The 20,621-nt window shown below is 37.6% G+C and overlaps 1 protein-coding gene and 1 long non-coding RNA gene across 20 annotated transcripts in view; one reads left to right on the forward strand and one right to left on the reverse strand.

The window, feature by feature from the left end:
- FAM13A (family with sequence similarity 13 member A) overlaps nt 1–20,621 on the reverse strand; it is a 331,226-nt gene that overhangs the window by 195,422 nt on the left and 115,183 nt on the right. For 15 of the 18 annotated variants that reach the window (XM_047449481.1, XM_047449479.1, XM_011531516.2 and 12 more), the window contains one exon: nt 16,707–16,860. The exons of 1 other annotated variant lie outside the window; for it this stretch is intronic. In XM_047449481.1, the coding sequence (XP_047305437.1) occupies nt 16,707–16,860 (154 nt within the window). Of the gene's footprint in view, nt 1–14,932; nt 15,111–16,706; nt 16,861–20,621 lie in introns of those variants that run through there. 2 more of the 18 variants (XM_017007633.3, XM_047449484.1) reach the window with 1 other exon arrangement.
- Nucleotides 6,112–20,621, forward strand: part of LOC105377327 (uncharacterized) — a 32,160-nt gene continuing 17,650 nt past the window's right edge. The window contains exons 1-2 of one of the 2 annotated variants that reach the window (XR_938977.3): nt 6,112–8,637; nt 20,199–20,344. This is a non-coding gene — a long non-coding RNA (uncharacterized LOC105377327). The remainder of the gene's footprint in view (nt 8,638–20,198; nt 20,345–20,621) is intronic. The other variant, XR_007058188.1, reaches the window with a different exon arrangement.

Here is a 20,621-nt window from a genome sequence, read left to right on the forward strand (position 1 = left end):
GTGAGGGCCAATATTCAACATTCTTAAAGAAAAGAATTTTCAACCCAGAATTTCATATCCAGCCAAACTAATCTTCATAAGTGAAGGAGAAATAAAATCCTTTACAGACAAGCAAATGTTGAGAGATTTTGTCACCACCAGGCCTACCATAAAAGAGCTCCTGAAGGAAGCACTAAACATGGAAAGGAACAACTGGTACCAGCCGCTGCAAAATCATGCCAAAATGTAAAGACCTTCGAGACTAGGAAGAAACTGCATCAACTAACGAGCAAAATAATCAGCTAACATCACAATGACAGGATCAAATTCACACAAACAATATTAACTTTAAATGTAAATGGACTAAATGCTCCAATTAAAAGACACAGACTGGCAAATTGGATAAAGAGTCAAGACCCATCAGTGTGCTGTATTCAGGAAACCCATCTCACGTGCAGAGACAAACATAGGCTCAAAATAAAAGGATGGAGGAAGATCTATCAAGCAAATGGAAAACAAAAAAAGGCAGGGGTGGCAATCCTAGTCTCTGATAAAACAGACTTTAAACCAACAAAGATCAAAAGAGACAAAGAAGGCCATTACATAATGGTAAAGGGATCAATTCAACAAGAAGAGCTAACTATCCTAAATATATATGCACCCAATACAGGAGCACCCAGATTCATAAAGCAAGTCCTCAGTGACCTACAAAGAGACTTAGACTCCCACATAATAATAATGGGAGATTTTAACACCCCACTGTCAACATTAGACAGATCAATGAGACAGAAAGTTAACAAGGATACCCAGGAATTGAACTCAGCTCTGCACCAAGCGGACCTAATAGACATCTACAGAACTCTCCACCCCACATCAGCAGAATATACATTTTTTTCAGCACCACACCACACCTATTCCAAAATTGACCACATAATTGGAAGTAAAGCTCTCCTCAGCAAATGTAAAAGATCAGACATTATAACAAACTGTCTCTCAGACCACAGTGCAATCAAACTAGAACTCAGGATTAAGAAACTCACTCAAAACCGCTCAACTACATGGAAACTGAACAACCTGCTCCTGAGTGACTACTGGGTACATAACGAAATGAAGGCAGAAATAAAGATGTTCTTTGAAACCAACGAGAACAAAGACACAACATACCAGAATCTCTGGGACACATTCAAAGCAGTGTGTAGAGGGAAATTTATAGCACTAAATGCCCATAAGAGAAAGCAGGAAAGATCCAAAATTGACACTCTAACATCACAATTAAAAGAACTAGAAAAGCAAGAGCAAACACATTCAAAAGCTAGCAGAAGGCAAGAAATAACTAAAATCAGAGTAGAACTGAAGGAAATAGAGACACAAAAAACCTTCAAAAAATTAATGAATCCAGGAGCTGGTTTTTTGAAAGGATCAACAAAATTGATAGACCGCTAGCAGACTAATAAAGAAAAAAAGAGAGAAGAATCAAATAGACGCAATAAAAAATGATAAAGGGGATATCACCACCGATCCCACAGAAATTCAAACTACCATCAGAGAATACTACAAACACCTCTACGCAAATAAACTAGAAAATCTAGAAGAAATGGATAAATTCCTCGACACATACACCATCCCAAGACTAAACCAGGAAGAAGTTGAATCTCTGAATAGACCAATAACAGGCTCTGAAATTGTGGCAATAATCAATAGCTTACCAACCAAAAAGGGTCCAGGACCAGATGGATTCACAGCCGAATTCTACCAGAGGTACAAGGAGGAACTGGTACCATTCCTTCTGAAACTATTCCAATCAATAGAAAAAGAGGGAATCCTCCCTAACTCATTTTATGAGGCCAGCATCATCCTGATACCAAAGCCTGGCAGAGACACAACAACAAAAAAGAGAATTTTAGACCAATATCCTTGATGAACATCAATGCAAAAATCCTCAATAAAATACTGGCAAACCGAATTCAGCAGCACATCAAAAAGCTTATCCACCATGATCAAGTGGGCTTCATCCCTGGGATGCAAGGCTGGTTCAACAAACGCAAATCAATAAATGTAATCCAGCATATAAACAGAACCAAAGACAAAAACCACATGATTATCTCGAAAGATGCAGAAAAGGCCTTTGACAAAATTCAACAACCCTTCATGCTAAAAACTCTCAATAAGTTAGGTATTGAGGGGACATATCTCAAAATAATAAGAGCTATTTATGACAAACCCACAGCCAATATCATACTGAATGGGCAAAAACTGGAAGCATTCCCTTTGAAAACTGGCACAAGACAGGGATGCCCTCTCTCACCACTCCTACTCAACTCAGTGTTGGAAGTTCTGGCCAGGGCAATTAGGCAGGAGAAGGAAATAAAGGGTATTCAATTAGGAAAAGAGGAAGTCAAAGTGTCCCTGTTTGCAGATGACATGATTGTATATCTAGAAAACCCCATTGTCTCAGCCCAAAATCTCCTTAAGCTGATAAGCAACTTCAGCAAAGTCTCAGGATACAAAATCAATGTACGAAAATCACAAGCATTCTTATACACCAGTAACAGACAAACAGAGAGCCAAATCATGAGTGAACTCCCATTCACAATTGCTTCAAAGAGAATAAAATACCTAGGAATCCAACTTACAAAGGACGTGAAGGACCTCTTCAAAGAGAACTACAAACCACTGCTCAATGAAATAAAAGAGGATACAAACAAATGGAAGAACATTCCATGCTCATGGGTAGGAAGAATCAATATCGTGAAAATGGCCATACTGCCCAAGGTAATTTATACCTTCAATGCCATCCCCATCAAGCTACCAATGACTTTCTTCACAGAATTGGAAAAAACTACTTTAAAGTTCATATGGAACCCAAAAAGAGCCCGCATCGCCAAGTCAATCCTAAGCCAAAAGAACAAAGCTGGAGGCATCATGCTACCTGACTTCAAACTATACTACAAGGCTACAGTAACCAAAACAGCATGGTACTGGTACCAAAACACAGATATAGATCAATGGAACAGAACAGAGCCCTCAGAAATAACGCCACATATCTACAACTATCTGATCTTTGACAAACCTGACAAAAACAAGAAATGGGGAAAGGGTTCCCTATTTAATAAATGGTGCTGGGAAAACTGGCTAGCCATATGTAGAAAGCTGAAACTGGACCCCTTCTTTAAACCTTATACAAAAATTAATTCAAGATGGATTAAAGACTTAAACTTTAGACCTAAAACCATAAAAACCCTAGAAGAAAACCTAGGCATTACCATTCAGGACATAGGCATGGGCAAGGACTTCATGTCTAAAACACCAAAAGCAATAGCAACAAAAGCCAAAATTGACAAATGGGATCTAATTAAACTAAAGAGCTGCTGCACAGCAAAAGAAACTACCATCAGAGTGAACAGGCAACCTACAAAATGGGAGAAAATTTTTGCAACCTACTCATCTGACAAAGGGCTAATATCCAGAATCTACAATGAACTCAAACAAATTTACAAGAAAAAAACAAACAACCCCATCAAAAAGTGGGCAAAGGATATGAACAGACACTTTTCAAAAGAAGACATTTATGCAGCCAAAAGACACATGAAAAAATGCTCATCATCACTGGCCATCAGAGAAATGCAAATCAAAACCACAATGAGATACCATCTCACACCAGTTAGAATGGCAATCATTAAAAAGTCAGGAAACAACAGGTGCTGGAGAGGATGTGGAGAAATAGGAACACTTTTACACTGTTGGTGGGACTGTAAACTAGTTCAACCATTGTGGAAGTCAGTGTGGCGATTCCTCAGGGATCTAGAACTAGAAATACCATTTGACCCAGCCATCCCATTAGTGGGTATATACTCAATGGACTATAAATCATGCTGCTATAAAGACACATGCACATGTATGTTTATTGCGGCTCTATTCACAATAGCAAAGACTTGGAACCAACCCAAATGTCCAACAATGATAGACTGGATTAAGAAAATGTGGCACACATACACCACGGAATACTATGCAGCCATAAAAAATGATGAGTTCACATCCTTTGTAGGGACATGGATGAAATTGGAAATCATCATTCTCAGTAAACTATCGCAAGGACAAAAAACCAAACACTGCGTGTTCTCACTCATAGGTGGGAATTGAACAATGAGAACACATGGACACAGGAAGGGGAACATCACACTCTGGGGACTGTTGTGGGGTGGGGGGAGGGGGGAGGTATATCTCCTAATGCTAAATGTCGAGTTAATGGGTGCAGCACACCAGCATGGCACATGTATACATATGTAACTAACCTGCACATTGTGCACATGTACCCTAAAACTTAAAGTATAATAATAATAAAATAAAAAATAAATAAAAATAAAAAAAGAGAAATGCCAATGTATAAGTAAATATGAGATATTGTTCTCACCCTAGAAAAATTTACAATGCAACGTGAGAGGAAAAAAAACCCCAACTTATCCAAGGCAGAATGTTCTAACAGAAGGAGAAAGAAAGTGCCACAAGACAAGAAAGGAGATGAGGATTAACTGTACCTGGAGGATGGGGAGGGCTTCGTGGAGGGGGTAGTATTTGAGATGTCTCAGTTGGACCCGCACCAACTTAACCAGAAGCAGAACTTGCTGCGAGGATTGAGAGCAAGTAGTTTATGCGGGTGGTTCTGCGGTGGAATGGGGGTGATAAGAGAGGGAGGAAGGGAGCCAACAAGAAATGTCACTCTTAAGCTCCCACAGTGGTTCTGAAGCTTAAATTTAGGGGAGAGCTCGGGCAACAGTGTAAAATACACACCCCAGAATAATTCCAATCGAGGAGTAAAGCAGCTGGAAATTTACACCCCCACAGTTTTCAGCCATGGGTAAGGCTTACCCCCCATCCCTGGAAGGATGTTCATTTCTAGGCACTTCCAGCCCACAGAAGTATAACTTTCATCCTGAGGAGATCAACTGAAGAAAATATCAGAAATTCAGTTTTATAGAAAACATAAGTGATCTTTAAAAACCTCAAATATTCGCTTGCCATTTACTGAGTGCCTCCTATTTGCCAAATATACACAGTATAATGATTTAAAGTAGTCAGCTTCTTTAACAAACAGTTCCAAAGTTTTGCCATCTCACTGGAAACAGTTTAAAGGATACATAGCATAATGGCGTCTTCATAAGCAAAAGCAATTTAGTCTGTCTTCTGTTAATTATTCCTTATAATAGGAAAGAATGTAATATCTGGCAATGTGTTACATCTAATGATTCATGAGAAGACATGACTTTCTAGTGTTTACCTATAATCGCTCTATAAAACAAAATGTCTGGGGAGAAGAAATTAACAGCAATCTAAATTGTAAATATATGAGTATGATCTAAAAATTGGAGCCATAAAGCATTCCAAACTATGAAGTAACTTTTAATATTACTTTTATTACTTAATGCTTTACACTTCTTGTTAGTCTAATTAGTTTCTACTACCAAAAGTTGCCCATTTGAGTAATTCAAGCAAACAACCCTCTACCATGCTATTAAAAATTTAACTTTTATATAATTAGGGGGACAGGTGCATATTTCTTACATGCATATATTACACAGTGGTGAAGTCTGGGCTTTTAGTGTGTGTACACACACCTACACCCACCGACAGACACACACACACACATTTTCTTTATCCAATTCTCCCTTGATGGACATTAAGGTTAATTCTATCTTTGTTATCGTGAACAGTGCTATCCCAATCCATAAGACTGGGATGTTTTTCCATTTGCTTGTGTCATCTACAGTTTTTTTTCCACCGGTGTTTTTTAGTTCCCCTGATAGAGATCTTTCACCTTCTTGTTTAAATATATTCCTATGTATATTTTTTTTTTTGTATAGCTAGTAGTGTAAATGGGATTTCTTCTTGATTTGGTACTCAGCTAGGTCCTTAATGGTATATAGAAATGCTACTGATTTCTGTACATCAAATTTGTATCTCGAGCCTTTACCAAATCTAAGAGTTTTTTGGTGGAGCCTTTAGGGATTTCTAGATATAAGATTGTATAATCAATGAACAGGGATAATTTGACTTACTCTACTCCAATTTGGATGTCTTTTTTTTTTTTAATCTTGCTTGATTGCTCTGGTGAGTCCATCTGGTTCTAGGTTTTTTTTTTCTCTTGGTAGAATTTTTTTTAATACTGATTCAATTTTTCTACTTATTGTTGGTCTGTTCAGGAGTGCTATCTATTTCTGGTTCAATCTCAGAAAGTTGTATGTTTCTAGGAATTTATCTATTTCCTCTAGGTTTTGTAGTTTGTGAGCCTATAGTTGTTCATAATAGTCTTTGATGATTTTTTTTATTTCTGTGGTGTAAGTTGTTATGTTTCCTTTTTCATTTCTGATTGTGTGTTTATCTGGATCTTCTCCCTTCTTTTCTTGGTTAGTCTAGTGAGTGGTCTATCAATTTTGTCTGTCTTTTTGAATAACCAACTTTTCATTTCATTGGTCCTTTGTATTTTTGGGGGATTTCTTATTTAGTTCTATTCTGATCTTTGTTATTTCCTTTCTTTTGCAAACTTGGGATTTGCTTTGTCTTGTTTTTCTAGTTCCTTGAGGTGTGAAGTTAGGTTGTTAATTTTTTAATGTAGGCATTTAATGCCACAAACTTCCCTCTTAACACTATTTTTGCTGTATCCTGTGTATGGTGTGTTTTCATTTTCATCTGATTCAAAAAATTTAAAATTTCTGTCTTAATTTCTTCATTGACCCAGTGATCATTCAGGAGCATGTTGTTTAATTTCCATGTGTCTGTATAGTTTCTGAAGTTCCTTTTGGTATTAATTTCTAGTTTTTATTCCACTGTGGTCTGAGAAAATACTTGATATCATTTTGATTTTTAAAAATTTATAAAGACTTGTTTTGTGGCCCAACCATGTGGTCTATCTCAGAGAATGTTCCATGTGCTGAAGAGAAGAATGTATATTCCATAGTTGTTGGGTAGAATGTTCTGCGAATGTCTGCTAAGTCCGTTTAGTCTAAAGTCCAACTTAAATCTAATGTTTCTTTGTTAATTTTCTGTCTCAATGATCTGTCTATTGCTGTCCCTATTACTACTGTATTGCTGTCTATTTCTTTATGCCTAGAAATATTTGTTTTGTGACTCTGGGTGTTCCAGGGTAGGGTTCCCAGAGTATATCTTGCTGAATTGATCCCTTTATCATTACATAAAACCTTCTTTGTCTTTTATTACTGTTTTTGATTTAAAGTTTGTTTTATCTGATATAAGTATAGCTACTCCTGCTTGGTTTTGGTTTCTGTTTGCCTGGAATATCTTTTTCTATTCTTTAACTTTCAGCCTATGTGTCTTTTTACATGTAAGGTGGGTTTCTTGTGGGAGCATATAGTTGGATCATGCTTCTTTCTTTTTAATCCAGTCTGCCAATCTGTATCTTTTAAGTGGAACATTTAATCCATTTACATTCAAGGTTAATATTTATATGTGAGGCTTTGATCCTGTCATATTGTTAATTGCTTTCAAATTGTTTTATAAATTCTTTGTTTCTTTTTCTCTAATTTTGTCTTTGTGGTTTGATGAAATTATCATGTTGTCATTTTATTCTTCTCTCTTCCTCCTTTCTGTGATTGCTTTATAAGAACTCTGAGTTTCATATTTCCAGGTGTTTTCATGATGGTGAATATTAACTTTTCATTTCCATTTTTAAGACGCCTTTGGCCATTTCCTGTAGGGCCAGTCTAGTGGTGACAGATTGTCTGAGCATTTGCTTGTCTAATAAAAACTTTAGTTCTCCTTCATCTATGAAGTATATTCTGGAAGGATATAAAATTCTTGGCTGATAGTTTTTTTTTTCTTTCAGCACTTTGAAAGTGCCATCCTATTCTCTTGTGGCCTGTAAGGTTCCTGCTGAAATGTCCGATATTAGACTGAAGGGGTTTCTTATATTGATAACTAGACTTTTTTCTCTGGCTAATTTGAAAATTCTTTCTTTCACTTTTACTTTAGACATTCTGAATATAATATGCCATGGTGCAGTCTTTTTTGCAACGTATTTTCCTGGAGATTGCTGGGACTCCTATATCTGGATGTCTAACTTTCTTGCTAGATTTGGGAAGTTTTCATCAATTATTTCCTTAGATTTTCTAAACTTTTTTTTATCCCTCTTCCCCCTCAGGAATGCCAATAATTTGTAAGTTCAGTCACTTTTTGTAGTTCCATATGTCTTGAAGGCTTTGTTCATCTTTTTTTCCTTTTTTTTTCTTTTTGTCTGACTGGATTATTTCAAAAGACCTGTCTTCAAGTTCTGAGATTCTTTCTCCTACTTGGTCAAGTCTATTATTGGAGCTTTCAAATGTATTCTGTATTTGCTTCAGTGCATTTTTTTAATTCCAAAATTTCTGCTTTGTTTTTTGTTTTTGAGACAGGATCTCTCTCTGTCACTCAGGCTGGAACACAGTGGTGCAAACACAGCTCACTGCAACCTCAATTTTCTGGTCTCAAGTGATCCTCCCACCTTGGCCTCTTGAATACCTGGGACTACAGGTGTGTACCACCATGCCCAGCTAGTTTTTGAATTTTTTTGTAAAGACAGGGTCTTGCCATGTTGCCCAAGCTGGTCTTGAACTCCTATGCTCAAGTGATCCTCCTGCTTCAGCCTCCCAAAGTGCTGGGATTATACAGGTAAGCCACCGAGCTCATTTTTTTTTTAAGATATCAATCTCTTGGTATGTTTCACATTCATATCCTGAATTGATTTTCTGATTTCTTTGTACTGGTTTTCAGAATTATCTTGCATCTCATTGAGCTTCTTTAAAACCAATATTTTGAATTCCTCATCTGGCATTTTGAGGAATTTTGTTTTGATGGGGATTTGTTACTGGACACTTGTTGTGTCCTCTGGTGGTGTCCTATTTCCATGCTTTTTCATGTTTTTTATGTCCTTCCTTTGATAATTACACATCTGGTATAGTAATCACTTGTTCCCATTTTTAAAAATTGCTTTTGTAGGGGAGAATTTTATTCTGAAGATGTATTTTTTCTGGTTGAGTAGCATACTTTGGCTTTGATTTTGGGCACCTGAGGTAGTATAATCTTTGTATGACACTCAGCAATACACAGGGTCAGTGGTATCTGTGATTTCCTAGGTGGCTTAGAGTAGTTATTAGGTGAGGCTGTGGTGAAGCTTTGCTGGGGACTTGGACATCAACTAAGCCAGTATTTGGGCCCTGGTGGTGGCAGCAATGGATTAAGTGTCCCTGTTTTTAGGCCCCAGAGCAGCTTACTTTAGCTTGCTGCAGCATTAGTGGGTCCTGGAGGGCTGATTCTTGGGCCTCCTGGTGGCTTTCACAGAAGCTAGTTGTGAGAGTATTGGGCTACATGTGTGAGTGGGCTCTTAAGGTCCTAGGCAACTGAAGTGGTATGGGTGATGGCATAGCAGTGGTGGAGCAACCCACTGGCCCCCAAGTGGTCTGTGTTAATGTTGCTGAAAGCAACAGTGAGTGGGGCAGCCTATTCTGCAGTCCCACAGCCGCTTATAGCAAGGTGATATGTATTGTCCTAAGCTTAGGAGAGCTTGCTCTTTCCTGTCCTTCCCATGGCTAGGTGATGAGTGCAGCCATGTTGCCTCAAACTTGGCTTAACAGTGAGGCACAGCCTAGTGTTAAACTCTCAAAATGGTGCCTTGGGCCTGGGACCAGAAAGAGTGGGGTCCCTCTCAGGCAAGAAGCCTGGACAAGAAGCTGTGGGGAGTGCAGTCCACTCACATCTCAGTCTCAACAGCAGCTCACAGCAGGGTGGCAGGGACCCTCCCATGGGTGCATGGGAGTGCTTGGTTTCCCCTCTCTCTCCTTGGAGCAATGTGGTGGCAGCAGCTGTGTCTGTAGATGATGGGTATCTAGGCTACTCTCAAAGTGGCATCCAGATGAGGCTGCTCTAGGCTTGGATGCCTGTGGGATTCTGTGTGGGTTCCCTTTCTGGAGCTCCATGTGTCAGGGTAAAGGCCCTAGTGGGTTGAGAGTTTTTCCTATATCCAAAACTATAAAAGCCTGTTCCAGAGTGTGGAGCCCTGGGGGTTTCTCTTTCACTGTTTCCCCATGTCCAGGAGCCTCTCCTGGCTCTCAGTCAGTCCCTGGCCATGCAGGCTGCCTCAAACCCTCTCCTTACTTATCTCTGGTGTTTCCCATCTCTTCTCTGGTGAATCCTAGTGTCTTCTCCTAGACAATCTGTTCAAAATGTATCTACTTACTATTCTGGTCCCTCTCTGTGAAGGAGACATATACTACTGGGTCTATTCAGCCATCTTGATCTCAACTCTATGATCTGTCATGCTATTTAATCATTGCATTTTAAAAATACATCATTTAACTTTTTTTAACCTCCAAATTCAGAATCTACCTAAAAATTATAACTCACGATCAAAAGAAGGATTTGTTCTGAAGAAAGGAACAAATGAATTCTAAATAAGTGCCACCTCTGAGTTTCATAAATGCTCAAAATGATAACATATAGATTTTGGTGGGTACAAGCTAGTCATTCTCACTATGTAAGTTTACCTACACAAAAGGAGAGATAATACAATCAGATTACAAAGAAGCAAACAACAAAAAGCCAAAAACATCTTTTATTTCCTGTTATAACTCTCCTGCTGCTCAGAAGGTTCTAATATTCTTGAGGGGCTACAGAAGAGGTTAGGAATAGTGAAGACATATAGGAGTCAGAAGAACAGAGTTCAACTACTTTCCTGACACTGACACTAAGTTGCTACAGTACATACTCATTAAATGAAAACACATATAAAAGCTCATGGCACTGATGGCCTCAGTTAAATCTCTAAGATTTTGGTTATTTCTCTACTTTGCCTCTAATCAGTACTTTCTTGATTTCAAAACCCAGCTCTGTCATTTACTGTTGTGTGATCTTAAGCAATTTATCATTACATTTCCTCATCTGTAAACCAGTATTAAGATCAATTACTTGTGAGGTTACTGTCAGTAGTAAATGAGATACATATATAGAAGAATTTGGCACAATGTCTAGCATAAAGCCCTATTCTCCCTTTTGCCCCTGTGTTCCTACACTGAGTTTGTTTGTTTCTTTTAGACTGTAAGGTCCCCCAAGGACAGGGACATGTCTTATTTATTTTCTGAAGCTCTCCAGCACTTAGTACAAAGCTTTGCCCAGAGTAGTTTTGCATTAAATAAGAAAAAAGTGAATAAACATTTGTTGAAGTTAATTGTGCTTAGGCTGTGGCCCTAAATGAAAATGGAGACACATGCAATGTTTTTGAGCATGAAAAAGATATGGGAAATGGTTTAGGAAGTTTCTGTGATATATCAGTTTATATGGTAAGTGACTTTGATTCTACATAAACAATATTAAATTTTTTGACCGGAAAGTCAAATACACAAAAAAATGAGCTTTGTGGTCAAACTTGCCATAACATTTATTAATGTGGGCACTTCCTTCGAACTAATCGCTATGGAAGGCCATTCTAATATTTTGCTTTGCTCAGAGCATTTGTTAGTAACTGTTTTGAGAGTTTGCTTAAAAGTCATATAAGAAAATCAACATAATTATTTTATAGCCAGATTTAAATTTTAAACCCAAAAGTTAACATATAATCAGCACTCCTCAACTTAGTGATATGCCATAGGTTAAAATGACTATTGATTACTTCCCACAATCAAATAAAGCATTAAAGTACGAAGATTTCCCAGTCCAATGATATACAGAAAAATATGGTATATGAATGACATATATATGCTCTGAAGACAACTTTAAAATTCCAAAAGATATAATGAGCAACAGCAACACTGTCTAATAAAGAAAGTCTTATAACATGTTTATCTGGAATAGGCTCATATTCATCTAGATATTTCTAGATAGATACTTAGCAATATGCTCATCACATTATTTTATAGGATGCATATATATGAGGTTTGCATGAACCCTATTACATATATATTCATAACTCTTATACACAAACTGGACAACAAGACAAACCAGGCTCATAGACTACTGTCCCCCTCAATATCTGCCACCCTTCTGGGTAAATTCAGGGTCAATAAGGAGAAACCATCAATATCTTTATCTCCCATCTCTTTGCCTTCTCCTTTCCCATAATTTTCTCTTCTCCTTCACTTTAGTCCCTCATGCTCATAAACCCAATCTAAGCCTTATTTTCACTCCAGATAGCTCAACCTCCAAAATCAGTAATGCAAACCTCCTATTTCCTGTTTTCAGCCCCTATTCTTCTAGCTTGCTTGCTCATCTACTTCTGCCTCAAACATTCTTTAGCCTAACTACAGTCTCTAGTACCTCCTTTTGTATTGCTGTTGTATATCCTAGCTTACCTTCAGATCTTCTCATCACCTTCATTACCATCATCCATGCCCAATTTACCATTGTTTTTACCTGGACTACTGTAATAAACTCCTAATACATTGCCCTACTTCTGCCTATCCCTTTCAAGAACCTAGTAATCTTTTTAATACAGAAGTCACAACGTAGCACTCTTCTGCTTAATACTGACTAATAGCTTCACTTAGAGTAAAAGTCAAAGTCCTCAAAATGATCTATGAATAGACACAATCTGCTGATCCCTTGTTTCCTTTGTGGCCTCATTTCGTTTCAATTCCATCTTGCTCATGGTAATCCAACTGTACTGGCCTCTCAACTGCTCATCAGACCAGGTATATTCACATCTCAAGACCTTTGTACTGCTCTTCTCCTTGCCTGGAATACTCTTCTCTCAAGTGTCTTCATGGCTTGCTCCCTTGCTTCCTTCAAGTCTCTACTCAAACGTTTTCTTGTCAATGAAGCATTTTAACTGTCCTATTTAAATAAGCAAAGGCCAATCCTCTACTTCTGCCTTTCCCTGCTTTATTTTACTTCACAGAATATATCACCATCTGACATACTACATATTTTCTTTTCTTTTTTATTGGCTGTTGTTTAGTGTATTTCCATGAGAATATAAGAATCATAAGAGCAGAGATTTTCATCTATTGTTCAGTATGCCTAGAACAATGCTTTGCTCCTAGTAGGCACCGAATAATTATTAACACTTGGATTTAATGAATTCAACGTATAGTCCATGGTCCATTATTTTATCCATACTTTTCTCACTAAATTTTGTGTATGTAAATATCTGGATGATTAAGTTATTTCTTGAATGGGGCTTCACTAGTGTCTGGATTTAGAACACCTTCTGAAGAGAAAATCTAGAATTATCCTGCAGCTGGAGAAATTAGACTGTGGCTGTTAGATGCCTACTGGAAAGATGTGCTTCTCCTAACCCAGTTATTCAGAAATACAGCTGTAACCTTTCATTTTGACAAAATAAAAATGTTCCTATGTAAATTCCCTTCTTGAAACCTATAAAAACAAAACTAATGAAAGAGAGAAAAGAAACCTCCAACTTAAGTGAAGTAAGAGATGGCCATAACTGTGGACCACTGACTGTGAAGACTATTTGCCAAATTCAACAAAATGTAGGCTAAAATGCCAAGGGCCAACATATACATTCTCATATTTCTCCAAATGTCACAGGGCTAAGAGGTCTATCCAAAATTTCCTTCACTGGAGTAACTAGATCTAGTCAACATGGCCAAACCATTGCAGAATCTGGAAAAACTCTGTAGGGACCTAGGTTCACTCCCAAAGAATGGCAGGGAAAGCAAAGTTGAAGGGGAAGTCATACTGACAAAACTTTTCCCCTTATTGTTACCTTGGCCTTCAGACAGAGGAAGTCTGTCTTGAAGTGAGGCTGATGAATGTGCTGTAGATGCCATGATCAATTTTGCAGCTACTGACCAGAGTCAGCTGAACAGAAACAGACATTAGGCTTTGATAGCCTATGACAGAAAAAGACTCCATCTTCCAATACTCTGGTCAAAGTTCTTTATCTAGGTCCAAATACAACCGAACATATTTCTCTGGGCCCAAATCTCCGTTTCACATGCAAGAATATATAAGAAACTTCATTCAACACTTTATGACTCTGTTCTCCAAACTGGGATATACAGAGGTATGTCAGTGTTTATGTTTAGTCCTTTTCCCCACTTAAAAGCCTTATATCTAAGTCATTTACATGAGACTTGCCTTATTCCCAACTCATATATTTTATGTCCCTGTTACTCTTGGGTCTTTATCATTTACTTTGCGCCCATTTCCTATCTTTATATTCATCCTTCCAAAAACTGAACTCATATGAAAAAATGAACAGAAAGATAACTTTTCTTTAATTACCTTCTCATTTTTCTTCTTTTTCAGTATATTAATAGTTTCATTCTGAGATTCTCAATTTCTTTTAAGCCCATCTACCTTTTAGTTTCTATCTAATGTTTCTATGATCTTTACAATTTTCAAAAAAGTCTGTTTTCTAAGCATTGTCAATGTTTACATATCTAAATGTGGCTAACATATTCTCCTTTTATTACTATGAACTCTAAAATGGCATTGGCACATCCTTTTGAAATGATTTCCATAACTTCTATTTCATCCTTACTCGTTACGATTAAGTCCAGAGAATCACACCCCTTGTCACATTCTCTACTTTCTCAAAGAAGAGACTATCAGCGAGATCAGTTAAAAAAAATGCATTAAAATTCTGCTTTGGCAGAATGACACTTCCAGAGAATATAAATGTAGTTTCTAATCATGACATTTATCTGCCTCTAGGCCGATCTGAAACTTACATTAAAAGAGCACCATTTTATATTCTTCTTCATCTACCTAAGACATCTGTATTTGGCTCCCACAGAATTATGTCTTATATTATATTCTCATACGATGTTCTCCACCAGCCTTAAACCTAGTCACTCAAGGATTTCCAAGCAGGGCACTCTTCCACAGATCTCAACAGGTGTTATTTTACTTGCACAGCAAATAACATCTGTGTTAGTCTGTTTGTGTTGCTATAAAGAAATACTTAAGGCTGGGTAATTTATTTCAAAAAGAGGTTTAATTGACTCACAGTTCAGCAGGCCATACAGAACATCTGCCTCTAATGAGGCCTCAGGAAGCTCACAATCACGGCAGAAGAAGAAGGGGAGCAGGCATATCACATGGCGAGAGTGGGAGCAAGAGTGAGGGGGGGAAGTGCCACACACTTTTAAACAAGCAGGTCTCCTGTGAACTCACAGCAAGAACTCACTCATCACCAAGGGGATGGCACTAAGTCATTCACGAAGGATCCGCCCTCATGATCCAAACACCTCCCACCAGGCCCCAGCTCCAACACCAGGGACTGCGTTTCAATATGAGATTTGGAGGGGACAAACATCCAAACCATATCAACTTCCCATTGGCATATTCCAGCAATTAGCTTTATCTCAGCAAGTTTGCCCTGCCTAAGATTATATTTATCTATTTCCATTATACTTCAGGTTCACCTTATTATTTTATCTGCCCTAGTAAAAAGGTATGAGTGTTAAAAATTGTTTATAAAAGATTTTTAAAATATTTTATTTTTAATTATCATTATAGGTCCTTTAATAGTTGTACATATTTATGGGGTATATGTGATTGAGAGATGCTGCTGAAACAAAGTTAATTACCTTTTAACATTTTAAAAAGAGATCCTTTTCAAAGTACCATAGGCACTAGAGGAACAAACTTGAGGGCGATTTTTTTCTATTTAAAAAATCATTTAACTTTTCTGAGGCAAAACTGAAGTAATGTTGTTTTCTTATTTTTTCTTGTGAATCACTGACATTTTTTTCAGCTACCGTGTTATTTCTAACTCAGATTTACAACTGATAGTCTCCAATTATCTCATTTTATCATTTTAACTGAGCAAACTAGAAAATCTAGTTTTAGATCCTTTTGTAGGATGCTACTTGATACTCAAACCATTTTAACCTTTCTTCAAAGTCATGGCCTCAACTGGGAGAAGAGATGAAAACATTCCTTTAAGTGCCCAAACCAAGTGCCTCTGATTTTATCATTCATTGCTATATGAATCAGCAAAGAGTATGTTATGGTCTGTAAACCTGATAAGCTTCAAGAAACCTCCTGAGGAAATCTCATACCAGCTCCATCATGATTCACCTCAATATAAATGACGACGAAATAAGATAACTTCCTTATTTTCCCACATCTAGGGGATTTGTTTGGATGTTTACCCTCTGATTCTCAATTCTAGGTCTTTGGAGACCTACAGGCATTTACCTAATATATACAGGGTATATTATAAAATTATCAATGTATAAAAAGATTTAGATAGTATTGTCAAGGACTCCTTTATAGGTTTTTAAAATATTCTCCTTTACTGATGATTGTTACCAAAAACTAATATATGGGACTTAGAATCTGAGGTTGGGCTTCAAATTGTGCCAGACACAAAAGAGACAAAAAGACACAGTAATATTGTCTTCAGGAATTTGCAATCTAGTTAGTAACCTAGCACTCCTGATCACAGCCATATGCACTTATTCCTGCTGTAACATCAGGCTTCTGTAGTAAAGGTGGTGCGGCCAGTTGATCAGAGCACTGGGCTCATGCAAGTGTTTTTGAGATGACTTTATAGCAACAAGAAAACATAAAATTGCTATTATTCTTGAATTTTAGAAGGCTATATTTCAATTTAATAAGCATTTGGAATAATAGATTTCATAAGAAGGATTCACTATACACAGGAATAATAATCTGAGGGTTATATCCATATGGAATTTTTATGAGAAAGAATTAAATAAAATCTTCTGTCCAAAATTATAGCAATACTGAAAATTAAAAACCAAGTTGCTTACTTTTACTATGATAAGCCTAGCCAGGTTTTCACATCTCAGATGATCATTTTCTGTATACTCTACTTCAAACAGGGTATTGTAATTTTCTAGAATTTTAGCCATTATCTTGTTGCACAGGTCCTGTTCCTTCATGCCTTCAAGCCCAGGTGGCACACTAGAAACAAGAAAGGGAAAGAGAGGAATTACTTAGTAAACACAACAGTGCCTGCTAGCTGACTCAGACTTGTATTTTGAAATCTCCTGAATAATTAGCCTTATAGGGATGCATGGGATTTTCAACAAGCTCTTTGGTAACATGCATGACATTGTTGGGGCAATTGGAGAGTTCCCAAGTTCTGAATCAATAGCTTGGGCTGAATAAGAAAAATATAGGCTGTTCAGGAAGAAGATAGAGATGAACACTGAGGCCAGTAGTACTTTGAATATATTAAAAATTATTACACATAATAGTTATATAAAAGTAAAAAAAGAATGAGGGTTTTCATAACAGAAATAGCCACACAAATAATAGCAACACAATCTTTATTTAAGGCTTTCTTAGATAATGCACAAAAAGTACAAACCTTAAAGGTAGAAATGAATACTTCTGGGGAAAAATAATGATAATTGTTGAGCTAAGTGATGAGCGCATGGAAGGTCTATTACACTATTCTCTCTTCTTTTGAATGTACTTAAAATTATTCACAATAAAAATAGTTGAAAATATATCTGAATACAGAATATCCCATAAACAAGGTAAAAAGATAATTTACTGGTAAACTTCTTCAGTAACATGTATAACTGACAAAGATTAGTAGTTACACTATGTAAAGAACTCCTACTAATCAACAGGTAAGTCCAAAAGAAAAAGAGACAAAAGACATGAGTTGGAAATGTTGCAGAATAGTTAATAACCTTATGAAAAGATACTTAGCTTCACTGAATAACCAGAGAAATACATTTAAAAAGCACCACTTAGGTCTCATTTACTACTTATCTGTATTAATTTTCTGAGGCTGTTGTAACAAATTACCATAAACTAAGTGGCTTAAAACAACAGAAAGTATTGTCTTCCAGTTCTGGAGGCCAAAAGAACAAAATCAGTATCACTGGGGCAAAATCAAGGTGTCAGCTGGGCTATACTCCCTGTGAAAGCTCTAGGGGAGAAGCTGTTCCTTGCCTCCCCTAGCTTCTGGTGGCTGCCAGCATTGCTTGATTATAGGTGCATCACATCAATCTTTAACCAGGGCCAGCATCTGCAAATCTCTCTCTGCTCCACCATCACACGGCCTTCTCTACATGTGCTTAATCTCCCTCTACCCCATTCTTATAAGGATACACGTGATTGCATTTCATGTCCACTCCCCTATCCCTCAAAAATTCAGGATAATCCTTATATCTCAAGATCCCTACCTTAATCACATCTGCAAAGATTCTGTTTTCCAAATAAGGTAACATTTACGCATTCCAGGGATTATGATATCTTTAGGAGATACTATTTAACCTACTAGACTATCTTGGGATACGCACCCTAAGGTCTCCTACACTTGGGTGTAGATAGAACCTGTGACTTGCTTCTGATCAATATGATTTGGCAAAGGTGATAGGATGTCGCTCCCATGATTGTGTCACAATGGATGAAACTCAGAAAACTGAAGTGAGAGATTCTCCCATCGGCCTTAAAGATATAAGCAGTCAAGTTGTGAGATGGCTGTAAGAGGATCACATGGCAGGGAACTATGGGACTTCAGTGGGGCTACAGCCATAAGAACACAGTAAGATGCTAGGGTCCTTAGTCATGCAGCTGCAAAGAAATGAACTCTGCCAACAACTTGAATGAGCTTGGAAGCAAATCATTCCCCAAACTCGAGCCTTTAGATAAAAACGCAACCCAGTTAATACTGTGAATTTGGCACAGTAAGATCAAGAGCAGATGATTCAGTTAAGTTGTGCCCAGATTCCTGACCCCTAGAAATTGTGAGATAGCAAATGTTTGTTGTTTTAAGCCACTAAATGTGTGGTAATTTGTTACACTACCATACAGAGTTTGGTACCTGGGAAGGGGATGCTGCTGTAACAAATATCTAAAATGTGGAAGTGGCTTGGGAACTGGGTAGTGGAAGGAGACTGGGCAGCATCATAGAGAAGGCCTAAAATGCCTTGAACCAGTTCTTAACTGACCCCTGGACCTTAAGGACACCACTGATGAGGGCTCAGAGGGAAATGAGGAATATGTTACTGGAAATTGGAGCAATGGAGACCCTTGTGATGGTGGCAGAAAACTTAGGGAAATTGTATCCTATAGTTACTTGAGAAGATCAACCTGTAAGCAATAGCCTTAGCTATACGGTTAACATTATTTGCAAGCAATGGTTTGAAAGTGCCACCTAGTTTCTTCTTACCACTTACAGTAAAATGCAAGAGGAGAAAGAAAGACATTGGGAGAACTTATACAAAAATGAAAGGGGACATGATTTTAAAAATTTTCAGACTCTCCAAATAGAAAAGACACTAAAATTAAGAAATTCACTGTCAAGAAAGCAAGCTCTATAGAAAAAGTTGAGGGTGTGACTATATAGACTTTTGCTAAAACCTCAGAAAGATCAAAAGCTGGTTTTATGCAGTCAGGCAAAGGTCCCTTTCAAGTGATGAAGGGTGTGCCTCACAGATCCTGTCGATCAAATCAGAGGGCCTCTAGGAACTGAAAAGCATCATCCCTCAGCCATTGTAGCATGAGATGGAAAAGGGATTATTTTTAAACGATCTGTGGATATGCCTTTCTTATAATGAAGTGAATCTCTATAAAATCCACAGAAGACTCACAGAGTTTTATTTCAGCAAAAACACTGCCAACGTGGAATCAAAGGGACAGAGAGGATACAAAATGAAAGGATGATGTTGGCACCCCCAAATTCTATTGGCAGGAAGCAGGTTGATAAAACTACTCAGCTGCAAACATGAGTAGTTTCATTAAAAATAAATCATGACTTAGAGGGCAGAACCAAGAATCTAGAGGGCTATTACATAAAAATCATAGGAGACCATTGTTTTGGACTAAGCACAACAAACCAGATTAAAAATCGAAATGGAGTCACCCATGCTAAAATTCCACATCACCAAATCAAAACTAAGTTGTTATCTGACTTTCTAAAATCAGGAAAGAGAGAAAATATCCAACTTCCCAAACAGGAGCTTCAGTTGGAATGAATAGCGAAGTTTCCTGTTTTAATCCTTAACCTGAAATAACCTAATGTTAACCAAACAGTTATTTTTCTATTGTTGTGTCTCCCAGCTCCCACCATACAAGGAAAGTAACTTTAAAATGACCGATCCACTTTTTGTTCTTTGCTTCTGCTTTCTTAAGGCCTTTTTCTGTCTATAAAACCAACCTTGTTTGACTCATTGGGACACTTATTCTACTTAATGGAATGAAGTATTGCATGATTCTAGAACTGCAAATAAAGCCAATTCAGATCTTTAAACTAAATTTGTTGTAATTTTGTCTTCTGACAGATATGGTGACCAGTGAAGGGACCTGAATGAAGGTTACTGATGTCTCTGAGACTCCTTGAGGAACACAGAAAAGATGCTGCTAACCTCCCCTTTAAGTGGTGGGGGGTGGGTCCCCTGTCTTCCTCCTGGAGCCCTGAGAATCCTGTGTAAGTTCCTCTCAGGTCTGGGCTCTGCTCTCTTTTGTAATTGAGTACTCTGATCTCTTTGGCTTTTGGGGTACCAACAGGTAGTTTGTGCTATGGCAGGGCACATAACCTTTGGTTTGCAGTGACTGAAGAGTCATTGGCAAAAAAAGATGCAGTTTTTAAGGTAACTGCCGTCAGTTGCTCTAAGTGGTTATTACTGCAGGGGGGCTCTTTATTTCTTCTTTTCTTGTGTGCTGAGATTTCAGTGCCAAAGCCATCTTGGCTCTAAGACCCAAGA

The sequence above is a fragment of the Homo sapiens genome, chromosome 4 (assembly GCF_000001405.40).
Source record: "Homo sapiens chromosome 4, GRCh38.p14 Primary Assembly".
In the NCBI taxonomy this organism is placed as follows: Eukaryota; Metazoa; Chordata; class Mammalia; order Primates; family Hominidae; genus Homo; species Homo sapiens.